The sequence below is a fragment of the Homo sapiens genome, chromosome 15, assembly GCF_000001405.40.
Source record: "Homo sapiens chromosome 15, GRCh38.p14 Primary Assembly".
In the NCBI taxonomy this organism is placed as follows: Eukaryota; Metazoa; Chordata; class Mammalia; order Primates; family Hominidae; genus Homo; species Homo sapiens.
Genome location: NC_000015.10, coordinates 69,315,854 through 69,330,503, shown reverse-complemented (window position 1 = coordinate 69,330,503; position 14,650 = coordinate 69,315,854). Strand labels below are relative to the sequence as shown.

The 14,650-nt window shown below is 48.1% G+C and overlaps 1 protein-coding gene and 1 non-coding gene across 19 annotated transcripts in view, besides 2 other annotated features; one reads left to right on the top strand and one right to left on the bottom strand.

Annotated features, from left to right (window-relative positions):
* The window catches only part of PAQR5 (progestin and adipoQ receptor family member 5), a 108,869-nt gene that overhangs the window by 77,277 nt on the left and 16,942 nt on the right, over nt 1-14,650 (bottom strand). For 2 of the 18 annotated variants that reach the window (XM_047432745.1, XM_024449966.2), the window contains exon 1: nt 4,208-4,366. The exons of the other annotated variants lie outside the window; for them this stretch is intronic. The gene's annotated coding sequence lies outside the window, so the exon portion shown is untranslated. Of the gene's footprint in view, nt 1-4,207; nt 4,367-14,650 lie in introns of those variants that run through there. 18 annotated transcript variants of the gene reach the window in all.
* Nucleotides 5,084-5,211, top strand: LOC124900368 (small nucleolar RNA SNORA77). Its single transcript, XR_007064819.1, has one exon. It is a non-coding gene; the product is annotated as a small nucleolar RNA SNORA77 (small nucleolar RNA).
* Nucleotides 7,017-7,195: a silencer, noted in NCBI's record as "fragment chr15:69615648-69615826 (GRCh37/hg19 assembly coordinates)". NCBI's record gives its function as "represses an EF-1alpha promoter that drives an FKBP-Casp9 reporter gene in an ReSE screen in HepG2 liver carcinoma cells {active_cell/tissue: HepG2}" and the evidence as "EXISTENCE:reporter gene assay evidence [ECO:0000049][PMID:32094911]".
* Nucleotides 12,199-12,698: an enhancer, noted in NCBI's record as "H3K4me1 hESC enhancer chr15:69610145-69610644 (GRCh37/hg19 assembly coordinates)". NCBI's record gives its function as "activates a minimal SCP1, AML or CMV promoter by ChIP-STARR-seq in naive H9 embryonic stem cells {active_cell/tissue: H9 hESC(naive)}" and the evidence as "EXISTENCE:reporter gene assay evidence [ECO:0000049][PMID:30033119]".

Below are 14,650 nucleotides of genomic sequence, written 5' to 3'. Positions count from 1 at the left end.
GCACTGATCTTAAGAGCAGTCTAGGGAGGGTCAGAATCTTGTGGCCTCCAACTGCATGACTCCTAAACCATAATTTCTAATTCTGTGGCTAATGTTAATCTAGTCCCCAGGCAAGAAGGAGGTCTCCTTTGGGAAAGAGCTGTTACCATTTTTGTTTAAACCATAAACTACAAACCCAGTTTCTCCCAAAGTAAGTTCAGCCTATGCCCAGGAATGAACAAAGACAGCTTGGGGTTAGAAGCAAGATGGAGTCAGTTAAGTTAGATCTCTTTCACGGTCTCAGTCATAATTTTGCACAGGTGGTTTCACTAACATTCCCTGGTGTATTGTAACAAGTACCCTGGACTGCCTAAGCTTGGAGAATGTTCTATGAAGATGGGGAGAGGCACATAGAGCTTGGGATTTTGGGTGACCAAGGTCAGGTCTTCTCTCTACCATCTCCTAGGTATGAATTTGGCTGGGCTTGTTCCAAATGACTTTCATTTTTGTCATCTGTGAAATAAAAACATTAATACCTACCTGGCCAGGGCTATGGGGGAGCTAAAATGAAATAATAATAGATGTGAACAAACTTTATTAGCTACAAAACCCTGAATCAATGCCAGTGGTATTTACCACTATGGCTACTATTATGGCTACTATTACTACAAAGAACACATTCAGGAGAGTGAGCCATCAGCGGCAAAAACTTTTAGGATGATTTAAAAACCGAAAATTGAGGCTGTTTGCAGTGGTTCATTCCTATACTCCTAGCACCTTGGGAGGCCAAGGCAGGCAGATTGCCTGAGCTCAGGAGTTCAAGACCAGCCTGGACAACATGATGAAACCCTGTCTCTACTAAAATACAAAATATTAGCCGGGTGTGGTGGCATACACCTGTAGTCCCAGCCACTCAGGAAACTGAGGCACAAGAATTGCTTGAACCTGGGAGGCAGAGGTTGCAGTGAGCCAAGATTGCACCACTGCACTGGTAACAATCAGACAGAGCGAGGTGACAGAGCAAGGCTCTCTCTCCAAAAAAAAAAAAAAAAAAAAAAAAAGAAAGAAAAAATAAATTTAGGTAAAATATACATATATAATTTACCATCTAGTTCAGTGATTGTCAATACATTTATATTCTTTTTTTTCTCCCCTTCATCCCCCACCTCCTTCCCAGCCTCCGATAACCACCAATCTACTCTCTATATTCAAGGATGGGGGTTTTTAACCTGAGGCCCATGAAAATCCATGGATGGACCTCAGGGAGTTTATCAAATTATAGGTTAAATTATGTGTGAGTGAGTGTATATGTGTGTGTGTCACTGGGGACAAGGGCTATGGCTTTCAACAAAGTTTCAACAGTTTCAGTGGCATCTGTGAGCCAGGAAAGGTTCAGAACCACCAGCCCCTTGCAGTGCCTGGTGAACAAGGGCGAAGCCGCATTCCCAGGGTAACCTGGCGTCCAGACGGAATCCCCATTCCAGGGCAGGATTTGTTGGCGTGGCTCCAAGTGGTGGGACAGAGTCATGCTACCAGTCAGTGAATGGAGTGTCACTTCACAGAAACCTGTTTCTGCCTGGCTGCCCCACCCTGGAAACTGGAAACTGGTCCGGTGGCTGGGAGAGGCATTCCCTCAGCAGGTGTGATCCAGGGAGAAGCGGCTCTGCAGGCTGCACTGGCCTTGCCCTCTGACTTGGGTAAAGTCCGCACCCAAGGCAACCAGCCCACACCAGAGGCAATGGGCCTGGATCTCATCTGCAGACCCAGGGGGATGGGTGACAGAGGGAAAGGCAACGGGAACCTGGCAGGGCCCTAAGGAGGGGTTGCCATCCATGTCACTGTGGGCCACTCAGGGTAAGCACAGGCTGGAATAATGGCCACCCCCACCCCCATCCCGAGCAACTCCCTGGGAGTCTTTCCAGGCTGGCCAGGCTGCAGGCCTGCCCCCAAGCCTCAAATACCCTCTAGCTGGCCACTTCCCTGGCAGCCTTTCGGGCCCAGCCCACAGTCAGCCTCCTCCAGGAGGGACACGGGCTCCAGCGACTCCTCTCCTGCTGCCCTCCTCCTCCCTGAACCCTCTAGCTGTAGGGAAATGGCTGAGACCAGACTTCAGGGTCACACTGATCTGGCTTTCAGACCTGGCTTCTCTATTCACTAACTGGTGCCCTTGAACATGTTGCTTAACTTTCTCAGCCTTGGTCTTAGCCTTCTCAGCCTCTCTATCCTTAGCTTATAAACTGCATGAAGATTAAATGAAATAATGTACATAAGCTTCTTTGCATAGAGCGTGGCTGGCAGCAAACAGCTCAATCAAAGGTCATTATGATTATTAGCTTGATGTATATCATTCTCTGATCCTTTCAAATGTTGTCATTTTGGTAGCCACAATTTAGATTCCTGAATGACAGGACCTGGATCTATTTTCATTATAGAAGAAGAGACTTGGCTGGGTGTGGTGGCTCACACCTGTAATCCCAGCACTTTGGGAGGCTGAGGCTGGCAGATCACCTGAGGTCAGGAATTTGAGACCAGCCTGGCCAACATGGTGAAACCCTGTCTCTACTAAAAATACAAAAAAATTAGCCGGGTGTGGTGGCAGGAGCCTGTAATCCCAACTACTCGGGAGGCTGAGGCAGGAGAATCGCTTGACTCTGGTAGGTGAGGGCCCTGGGAGTCTGAGATCCCAACTTGGGCATTCTATGGGGCAGCTCCCAAGGATTCAAGCATCCTCCCACTCAAAGCTGTTTGTCCCCTCACCTCTCCTCTCTCTAAAACTGTTCTTGCTGGAAAACCTCCTCTCTCCTCCCTGCAGCCACTGCCACTGGAGATGTGCCCAAGTCTTCATCCCTTGCCACATGCTCTCACTTTCTCTGTTGTCAACAGGACCTAAAAGCATCTTCCTGGAAGCCTCAGAGCCAACACACCTGCAGGCACTTGCTTAATATGCCTGCAGGTGAATGTTAGTGAATCTCAAAAGCACCCTAGGCACTGGGGAGACTGAGACTTCTAAATTAAACCTCCAAATGCCTCCAGGAGCTTAGAGTTTGGTAGAAAGATGACACAAATGAAAGGATGACCATGTGTAGGGACAGGAAGCTCTAAGGAGTGGAGAGAGGGGGAAAGAGCTGAATACTGTGGGGTAGCTACAATGAGAAGGAGGGGCACACTAGGATGAAAGAGCGTAGAAAGCAGAGACTTCTGATGCCTAAAGTGTTTACAAAACAATCCGCATGTGGTGGGCGCAGTGGCTCACACCTGTAAGCACTTTGGGAGGCTGAGGCGGGAAGATCACTTGAGTCCAGGAGTTCAAGACCAGCCTGGGCAACATAGTGAGACTCCATCTCTACAAATAATAATAATAATAATAAAGAAATTAGCCAAGTGTGGTGGTGCATGCCTGTAGCCCCAGCTACTAGGGAGGCTGAGGCAGGAGAATCACATGAGCCTGAGGTCGAGGTTGCAGTGAGCCATGTTACTGCCACTGCACTCAAGCCCAGGCAACAGAGCAAAACCTCATCTAAAAAAAAAACCCAGCATGATACTGTAATGGTGGAAACATGACATTAAGCATTTGTCAAAGTCCATAGAATGCACAACATAAAGCATGAGGCCTAATGTAAAGGAGGGACAATAGTTAATAACAATGCATCCATGTTTGTTCATCATACACACTAACGCAAGATGTTAATAACGGGGGTGGGGAGGGAGGGAATGGAAATTACCTTCTGCACAATTTTTCTATAAACCTACATCTGCTCTAAAACATAAAGTCTATTAAGAAAACAAAAGGCCAGGTGCGGTGGCTCACGCCTGTAATCCCAGCACTTTGGGAGGCCGAGGCAGGCAGATCACCTGAGGTCAGGAGTTTGAGACCAGCCTGGCCAACATGGCAAAACCCCGTCTCTACTAAAAATACAAAAATTAGACAGATGTGGTGGCGGGCACCTGTAATCTCAGCTAATCAGGAGTCTGAGGCAGGGAGAATTGCTTGAACCTGGGAGGCAGAGATTGCAGTGAGCCAAGATTATGCCATTGCACTCCAGACTGTGCAACAGAGTGAGAGCCTATCTCAAAAAAAAAAAAAAAAAGACAAAGAGCTGTCAACATAAAAACCCCGCTCCCAGTTTCTTTTGATAAATCTGAAGATCTAACAGCCCTGGGCTGAATCTGCACATGGAAAGAACGGGATGCAGCCCAGGAAACACAGCTTCTTCACATGGATACTCACCCTTAGGTTTGCTGAGGCCTCACTACTCCTGCCAGGCTTGGCTGGGAGCTTTGGGGAGTTTGGAGCCCTGGTGATAAAAGTCAGGTGTCTGATCACAGAGAAACAGGCAAATTTGGCTGGCGTCTTTGGAGCACCATTTCCCAGGCACTGGAAAATGACGACATCAATGGGAAATGATGAAGAAAGTGAGGAAAACCAGGACAGTTTTCAGACAAGTTGAGTTTGATTTGCATGTATTTGCAGTTAAAAAAAAATGTGACTGCATCTTGGAGGAGAAGTTGAGGCTACAGATACATTTCAGAGGGAGAGAAAAGTGGCTTTCAAAGCCCCAGGGAATACCTGAGGTCCCACCAAGGAGAGGAACACAGACAGGGGAGCCCAAGGGAGAAGAAAAAGCCAGGTTCATGGGATGATGTGGTAGAGGTGATGATAAGCGTTCACCCAGAACCTTAGTTTCCCGGGCAGATGGCTGTGCGTAGAAACTGCGGTGGGTGGAGAGGTAGATGAGGCTTAAGGAGACAGGAGGGGTCACGTGTTTGGGGAGTGGTCAGGAACCAGCCAGGTGAGAGGCAGCGAACTTGGTAGGCTGCTTGGGTTAATGTAGTTCCGAGTTTGCACCTGCCCTGGGGCTGGTAGCAGAAGTGGAGAGTGGGCAGGAATATGCTTGATCATTCATTCATTCATTCATTCATTCATTCATTCATTCATTCAGCACACATTTCCTGAATACCTACTATATGTCCAAAGCTATGGTAGGAAAGATATGGGGATGAAGAAGCAGACACAACAGTTCTATCCCTTAAGAGCTCACATTCTAGTGTAGATCTGCACTAACAATTGCCACGCGGCACATCTAATAGTAAAGCAGTGGTTATTGCAGACTCACTGTGCACCTGGCTGCAGGCCCAGGTGGGTGCTCGTTCCCTCTGCAAGAGAAACAAACATTCCAGGGTGCTGTGGCTGCCTGACCTATAAGGGCGATGCAGCTGCCTGGGGATAGACAGTGCTTAAAAAATAGTGGTTATGCCTCTAGGGGAACACAGAGGAGGGCATTATGCTAGGGAGTCAGGGGAGACTTCTTGAAGAAATGAAGCTTGGGGCCAGGCGCGGTGGCTCACGCCTGTAAGCCCAGCACACTGGGAGGCTGAGCTGGGTGGATCACCTGAGGTCAGGAGTTCAAGACCAGCCTGGCCAACATGGCAAAACCCTGTCTCTACTAAAAATACAAAAATTAGCCGGGCATGGTGGCGGGCACCTGCAGTCCCAGCTATTTGGGAGGCTGAAGCAGGAGAATCACTTGAGCCTGGGAGGAAGAGATTGTAATGTGCTGAGATTGCCCCACTGCACTCCAGCCTGGGCAACAGAGCAAGACTCTACCTCAGAAAAAAAAAAAAAAAAGAAATGAAACTTGGGATAAGTCTTGAAGAGTCAATAGGAGTGCCACAGCTATGGGGGAGAGCTGAGGGTATAGCAGGACAGGGCCATGGAGGTAGGAAGAGGGCGTGCCATTCGAGGACCTATCTGTAGTTCAGCACGGAAGTACGCAGGGTATGGAGTGGCAGGAGGCCAGAGTGGAGCCCAGAAAACAGAGGCCAGATGAAGAATTGGTGTGCGCTGCATATGAATGGGGTGGGAATGAATGCTCTAGTGGGACTGGGAAAAGAGAACCTGAGCCTCAGGGATGGTGATGAGACAGAGGCTGGCCACTCCAATTGTGGTGGCAAGGAGAATGCTGAAGAGTGAATGCAGCCTAATTTCAAACCCTGGCTCCATCATTTACTGTGTGCCCTTGGACAGATTCCTTAGTTTCTGAGTTTCTAATCACTTGAATGAGGATCATAAAAGTTTCAACGGCTCTGGTGAGGATGAAAACCCATGGTATCTACCAGATGACAAGGACTCAATAAAGAGCTATTATCACCACTGCATTTTAAGCTGTCTCAGGTCTGCATTAATGCTCTCTCCTGTGCCTTCTGCCCTTGGTTTATAAAACTGCTTGAAAACAGACTGTTTCTCCTCCAGCTCTGACCCACCTCCTGGGCTGGAGCCGTGGCAAATGGGCACTCCCTGTGTGAGGATGGCAGGGGGTTGCCATGGTGACCTCCCAGCTTGGCTTAGGACTCTGAGTGTACTGAGCCTTTTTTCTTTTTTCTTTTTTTTTTTTTTTGCCCTAGCTATCCCAGCTATTCTAAATATTTACTGCTAGACGATTATTACATATCTGAAAAAGCTGAATGATATTCCCTAGCACATTGCAGAGAAAAATGGAAAACAATCCACATTTCTGGCAACAGAACTGGTGGGTAACTTACGGCCACATCCATGCAAAACTGTACCGTGGGGCTATTAAAAATGGTACAGATCTGTGGTAACTGACAGGTAACGGTGTCATGACAAGTTGTTAAGTGAAAAAAAGCAGGTTATAGAACAGCCTAAATCTCGTAATACTGTCTATATAAAATGGTGCTACATTTAACTGCTTTGTATTTATGAACAGAAGAAGATTTAGAAGGCTGTTCATTGTGGCTCTCTCTGGATGGTAGTGGTAGATCAGCAAATCTAGGGATTTGCTTTACTCTTTCTCCTTTTCTGTAACAACAGGGTTTGCCCACAATGAGCATGTATATTCTTTTTTCTTTTTCTTTCTTTCATTTAACGCAACGCTATTAGAAGAAAATAAATGAATGAGTCCTCTAACTCTTGGCAGGTCTTAAAAGGATTAATTGTGTCAGCCAGCCCATGGGTTGCAAATGCTGGCATTTGCTTGTACATTCACCTGAGAAGGTCACAGGTGAGCCTTACTCTATGTGCCCCCATCCTGCCTCTGGCCCAGGAGCACCACTGGCCGTTCAGGGGAGCTGGGGACCAAGTCCTAAAGCCTAACAGCTCATGCATTTGGAAAAGCCACCCCATTTCCCTGAGCCGAAGGCATAAAGAGGGGGATCCCTCCCTCACCACCATAGGTGAAGGTGGAGGCTGGTGGGAGCACTCTCACTGGGAGCATGGCAGAGGCCATCTGCTAGTAGACCTATATCAAGCACTCACTGTGCGCCAGCCTCTGTGTTATCCCTGGAGACTCATGGAGATCCAGGCAGACTCTTGGCCTAGTGGACAGAGGGCTCCAGGAAGGGCTTGGAAATCCAAATCCTCCTCATTGTTCCTGCAAGGTTCTCTTCTCCTGCCCCATGTTCCACACTTTATGTTCAAACAAGAAAATAGCGCAGTCCCCAGCAGTAGGTCCTGGAAAACCCCACTCCTTAGCATATCCTCAAGCCCTCCGCAGTCCCCCAGCCCCACCTCCCACCAGCCTTGCCATATGCCTGCCCTCCTGTCATCTCGGTCCTTAGTGCACCAGGAACTTCCCACCCCCATGCGCTCTTTGTGCTCGTTATTTGCACTGGATGAGACATCTCTTACTCCATCTTCTCTTCTTGATGAAATAATTCCTCTTCTTCTTCCTCTTCTTCTTCTTCTTCTTCTTCTTCCTCTTCCTCTTCTTCTTCTTCCTCGTCTTCTTCTTCTCCCTCTTCTTCTTCTTCTTCTTCTTCTTCTTCTTCTTCTTCTTCTTCTTCTTCTTCTTCTTCTTCTTCTTCTTCTTCTTCTTCCTCTTCTCCTTCTTCTTCTTTTTTTTTTTTTTTTTTTGAGACAGGGTCTCACTCTGTCACCCAGCCTGGAGTGCAGTGGTACAAACACAGCTCACTGCAGCCTCGACCTCCTAGGCTGAAATGATCCTCTTACCACAGCCTCCCTCCTGAGTAGCTTGGACCACACGCACACGCCACAGTACCTAGCTAGGTTTTTTTCTTGTTTTTTATTTTTGGTTTTTTTGAGACGGGGTCTCCCTCTGTCATCCAGGCTGGAGTGCAGTGGTGCGATCTCGGCTCACTGCAACCTCTGCCTCCTGTCTTATCCTCCTAAGTAGCTGGGATTACAGGTGCCCGCTACCGCGCCCAGCTGATTTTTGTATTTTTAGTAGAGACAGGGTTTCACCATGTTAGCCATGGATGGCCAGGCTGGTCTCGAACTCCTGACCTCAGGTGATCTGCCTGTCTCAGCCTCCCAAAGTGCTGGGATTACAGACATGAGCCACTGCACCCGGCCCTGGCTAGTTTTTAATTTTTTTTTTTTTTTTTTTTAGAAATGGGGTCTCACTATGTTGCCCAGGCTGGTCTCAAGTGACCCTCCCACCTTGGCCTCCAAAAGTGCTGGGATTACAGGCATAAGCCACCAGTCTTCTTGACAAAATTCTTCCTTTTGTTATGGCTAAACGCAAATGTCACCTGCTCTATAATGCTTTCTAGGGTAAAATTAGCTTCCACTCACTTCTGGGTTCCAGTACAAGGGTATCTATCATTTCATTTGCAAACTTCAGTTAGATTCCAGTGTCCTGGTTTCCATCAGGTCAAGACAGACCCAGCTTGTCTTGGTCATTGCTGTGCCCGTGGTGCCCAGCCCAGGAACACTGTCCAGTGTTCCTGTTCAATGAATGAATGTTTGCTGAGCCACTGAATGACTTCTGCTGTCCACTGCACTCTGAGCCCTAGAGGCAGGGTCTGGCCTGGTTGTCTGGCATCTTCTACCTGGTGGTTGCCACGCTGTGTTCACGAAAACTGCACTTCAGTGCCAAAATTGTATATCTGTTTGGTCCAAAGATATTTATTTCAAAAGTTTAAACATAGGAAATCTCAAACAAACTAATTGTAAAACAAAATGTAGGAGACAACTGGGAAAATGTCAACATTTGCTCTTTTATGATAATGAGGAATTATCAATTCTTAAGGTACAGTAATAGTACTGTGGTTATGTGTTTTATTGGGCCATTTTCCTTTGGAGATGTATACTGAAGTAATTGCAGATAAAACGATATGACGTCTCAGACCGGCTGTAACAAAATCTGGTGGGGATCCAGGGGACTGGGTAAGAGTATAGATAAAAAACGGCCATGAGTTGATAATTGCTGGAGCCAGCATGGAAGTTAATCTACTAATCTCTCAATCTTTGTATATGCTTTGAAAATGAGAGAATAACAATGTCAGAAAAAACCCTGAAATATGAAATATGTCTTTTGAGTCCTACTCAGATGTTGCATGCCTATAGACAAAGCAAAACTCTGTTGCAAGAATAATTACCACTCTATTCACAGACTTTCCTAACATGTGGGATATCAACATGACAGTTTTGAAACTGATACAGGAAGCGTGCATCAGAATCTCCATCTGAACAAGATAAAACCAAAGAACTCAAAGGCAAATCGGAAATGCTTTAGAAACAAAAATTGTGGCTCCTTATAAATAAAAGACGGCAGTCTCTGAAAAAAAGCCAAAAGGCCTTGTCGGCGGAAAATATTCGAAGATATCACACAAATATATCTTCTCACTATTCCCCAACTAGGGTAGAGTCAGGAAAAGCTTTTTCTAGAAAATTTTACAGGGAAAAAAAGCATACTTGTGACATAATGATATTGCCAACATCCTTTGATTTTAAATTTCTGCTTTAAAAGGGATCAAATAGTATCCCTTCTTGAACTTTCCATGACTGAATTTTGAGGTTTTGAGGTGGATAGGTTTTAATGTTTTGAATATTTCATTTTTGTTTATTTTATCTGCTAACATAGACTAGAATGAGAATGTGTATTTTTCTAAGTCAATGTTTATTGGTATTCTAAAGCATTTTTATATTTAAAATTATTAAATATTTGGGTTTCCTGTTTTACATTTTTTAAATACCTTTTTGTAAAATACAAATACTGATTTCAGCAATATATGATATGCATATTATCGGCCCTGGTGATCTTACCCGAGCATGCAATAACTATTTCCATGCATTGTCAGAGCTGGAAGGGGATGCTAGGCACCTCTCTGAATGGACATCCAAACCACCCAGAAAGTTAAAAAATACTAATGCCCAGGCCGAACCCCAGCTCATTTAAATCCAGCTCACCAAGGGTCAGGGGAGGGGAAGGGGACCCACGTCAGTGACTGTAAAGCTGGTCCCAGGTAAGAGGAGCAGAGCCCACCTGGAGCCAGTCTGCTGCTGAGCCCTGTAGATCTAGCACCAGGGTGCCAAACGCCAGCCTGGGATCGTTCTGGCTCTATGCTACCCAGCTAGTTGGCCTCCAGGGTGGGTGCAGCAGGCGGGGTCCTCCCCCAAGGCTGGGAAAGGGCGAAGCCCCTGCCAGGCTGATGGAAGGTGACTCCAGGCCCTGACTGTTGGGTTCCCCTCACCCCAACGGGGAAGGCTCTGGCTGCGGGGGAAGGCGAGATCCTATCTCCACCCTGCTCTCAAGCTTCTAATCTGATCAGAAACTTGAAGTCTGAGATAAAGCTGCCAGCCTGTGGAAGCCAGACCAGACCGCAGAGGAAGGAAAGGAAGGAGACCCAGAGAAGACGTGGGGCGAGGGTGAGTGCCTTCACATGTCCAGGGGCAGCAGGCTGGGAACCTGGAGGAGGCCATGCAACCGCTGAGAGCAGAACCAAGACCCCCAGACAAGAGCTTCCAGGAGACAGGCTTCATTCAGCTCAACCCACAGAGGCAAGCACCCGCATGCTGCTCCATGGGCACTGAGCTCCCTGCTCCAAAAATGTCCAAATCGAGTCTAAGTTTCTAACCCTGGGAAGAGGTGAGGACTGGTTAAAGCTAGGGTAGAGACAGGAGCCTGGAAACCTCTCTGGCAGCAAGTCCCAAGCCCAGCTGTGTTTCCAAAGAAACCTGGCTTGTCAGAACCCAGAGCCGCCAAGGTGGGCCTATCTCGAACCTTCTGAATCAGGGTCCCTTGGGGTGCTGCCTGGGGATCACCCTGTTATCAGGCTCCAGTGGTGAGTCCCATGCTCAGCCCAAGGAGGGAACAACTGCTCTGAGCTGTGCTCGTTCGGGTCACATGGCCTAGAATCCGTTTGGGAGACAAGACACTCACAACCAAAAGCAAGCAGAAGTACAAGGAGCTGGGGACCCATAGAGCAGTCCCCCTTATCCATGGCTTCAGTTTTTGGGGTTTCAGTTACCTGCAGTCAACGGTGGTCCAAAAATAGGTATATATAGTGCAACAGGATATTTTGAGAGAGTGGGAGAGGGAGAGACCACATTCATATATATATATATATATATATATATATATATATATATATATATATATATATATGTATATATTTATATATATATTTTTTGAAATGGAGTCTCGCTCTGTCGCCCAGGCTGGAGTGCAGTGGCACAATCTTGGCTCACTGCAACCTCCGCCTCCTGGGTTCAAGCTTTTCTCATGCCTCAGCCTCCCAGGTACCTGGGATTAAAGGCGCCCCCTACCACGCCTAGCTAACTTTTGTATTTTTATTAGAGACAGGGTGTCCCCATGTTGGCCAGGCTGGTCTCAAACACCCGACCTTAGGTGGTGATCCACCTGCCTCGGCCTCCCAAAGTGCTGGGATTACAGGCGTGAGCCACTGCACCTGGCATCGTATAACTTTTATTATAACATATTATAATAATTGTTCTGTTTTATTATTATGGTGGTTAATCCTTACTAATTTATAACTTACTCTTTACCATAGGTATGTATATACAGGAAAAAACATAGTATATACCAGGTTTAGTACTATCTGTGGTTTCAGGCATCCACTGGGGTCTTGAACTACCTCCCTTGCAGATAAGGGGGACTACTGTACTAGCAGGACAAGGTGAAAAGCAGGTGCCCCAAGAAGAAGGAGGCAGAATGGATGACGGAGGTGAGTTTAAATTCAATCCCACATCTCTGCAGTGAGTGCGTGCTCAGTGCTGGGGTCTGAGCTGGGCAGAGTGTCAGAAATGTTGGCTGCCCTCAAAGAGAACCCCATCTTTCTGAGGAGACAAGACATACCCAGTGGACCACGAGCAGGTAACAGGAGAGAGGGAGACAGACATCTCTGAGGGATCACCTGCCTCCACCTGGGTGTTAAACAGGTGTCTCAAACATGACATGGCTGCATAATGTCTGACACCAAATCCTGCCTTGTGCTTCGAACAAGCTGCCCCCTCTGCTTCGAGATGCATTTCTTGCCTGCCTAGGCAATTCCACCACACCGTCTGTCCCAGCCCGAGCCCCACTTCATCAGCCTCCAGTGCACCCCTCTTCTCCTCTGAGCCCCTGCTGCAGCTCAGGCTGGCTGGGTGCTCCCAGAGCACACCAATGCCCCTCTGGATGGCAGGGCTCCTGCCTTGCCCACTGCTGAGTCCTCGCAACGAAACATTGCCCGATGTATGGGATAGCACTCAGAAAAGATCTGCCTGGTGGCTCGGCGAAGTTCAGAGAAGAAACCCTGCGCAAGGATGGTGGTGCAGTCAGGGCAGGCTCCTGGTGGAGGCAGTGCTTTAGGTGGATACCAAAGAGGCTGAGGACTTGCTTTGGCAGAGAAGGGAACGATGTCCCCAGAGACAGCAGAGGCACAAGGCAGGGAGGCAGACTGGCAGACGGCAAGTAGGGAGGCCTGCTGGTGCTGAGCTCAGAGAGGCAAGAGGTGGGAGCACAGCATGGGGAGAAGGGGAAAGGAGGGTGGGCACGTGGAGAAAGCCAAGACATAGCACCCCGGGTGCATTTCAATGCCAGGCCAGTGAGGGAGCGTCCAGGGAGCTGCTGCACCTCCCTAGATGATTTGCATTTGTGGGAAGCTTTTCTAGCAATCATTAACTCTGAGCTTCACCCACTGGGACTGGGGGGATTGTAAATCTATAAAGCTGTAGGTGAGCCATTTCACGTAATCATTACCCAAAGAGCACACCTCACAGGTGAGGGGAAAATGGTCAGGGCAGCCAAGCAGCCAGGGAGATGTGAACTGGCAGAGGGAAGAAGGCTGCATGGACCTGGGTAGGGGGGTGGACCGGCATGGGCCCAGACCTCAGCAGAGACTGGAGGGTACTAGGGGTCAGAGAAGGCTGCAGGGCACAGATGGGAAAGGGCATGTCTTGTAAGTGGCCCCACAGCCAGTGGGGAGCTTAGATGGGGTGAGGGAGCCTGGGTGGATGCCCCCGCCTGCATAATGTCCAACCACTCCCCCTGGTGTGTATGGCATTTGGGCTCCAGAGTCAGCTCACCCAGGCTTTGAGTCCCGAAGCCCCTCTGGGCCTCACTTTCCTCCCTTGTGAAATGGAGATGATGAGTTTGATTTGAAACACCACTATTGAGCACTCAATCTATTCTAAACCCCTTGTGGACTGGGTGCAGTGGCTCACGCCTGTAATCCCAGCACTTTGGGGGCTGAGGCGGGCAGATCACCTGAGGTCAAGAGTTCCAGACCAGCCTGGCCAACATGGTGAAACCCCATCTCTACTAAAAATACAAAAATTACCCAGGCCTAGTGGCGTGTGCCTGTAATCCCAGCTACTTGGCAGACTGAGGCAGGAGAATTGCTTAAACCCAGGAGGCAGGTGTTGCAGTGAGCCAAAATCCCACCACTGCACGCAGCCTGGGGGACAGAGCAAGACTCCATCTCAAAATAAATAAATAAATAAACCCCTTATGGGCATTTTACACCCCACTTAATTTTCACAGCATCTCTTCAGGTGGACACTTTTATAATCCCCAGAGCAACTACCTCTTTGGGGTGTTTCAAGCATTAGTAAGTGTAAGCCCCATGTGTAAGCCCTTGATGCATAGCCGGGACTCAAAAAGAGCAACTGTCATTCTAACTTATGACCAGGGACATGCCTTCTCTGGCCTGTCCCAGGCTACAAGATAAAACGGAAAATGTATTTCTCCTTCCTTCTTGCTAGGACATTATTTTTCCCGCTAACCCAATATCGTAAGTAACACATTTCACAATATTTGAATGCAGTGGTGGATTAAGAGCCCCGTGGCTGAAATGTGACACAACGTCATTATTGTAGCATTATTAAGCACAGGCTTTTTTTTTTAAAGGGCTGAGGCAAAATGCATTATTTAAAACCTTATGGCCGGGCACGGTGGCTCATGCCTGTAATCCCAGAACCTTGGGAGGCCAAGGCAGGTGGATCACCTGTGGTCAGGAGCTCCAGATCAGCCTAGCCAACATGGCAAAACCCCGGCTCTACTGAAAATACAAAAACTAGCCGGGTGTGGTGGAGCACGCCTATAATTCCAGCTATTCTGGAGACTGAGGCTTGAGAATCACTTGAACCCAGGAGGCAGAGGTTGCAGTGAGCCAAGGTCACACCATTGCACTGCAACCTGGCAACAGAGGGAGACTCTGTTTCAAAAAAATAAAAAAATAAAAAACCCTATGAATAATGAGAATAACAGTTCATCTAAATCAGCCCCCAAGAACGTGCAGCCCAAGCTCAGAAGGTGTAAATAGTAAGCCCTCCGCCTTCCCCGAGGCTTCACTGCCCAGGACCACCTCTGAGGCTCCAGGCTGGCCTTGAGCTCCTGACCCAAGGACTGCCCCGAGCCCAAGGGGAAGGAAGCGGCATGAGACTGGCAAGTGCATGACAGTGGAGGGG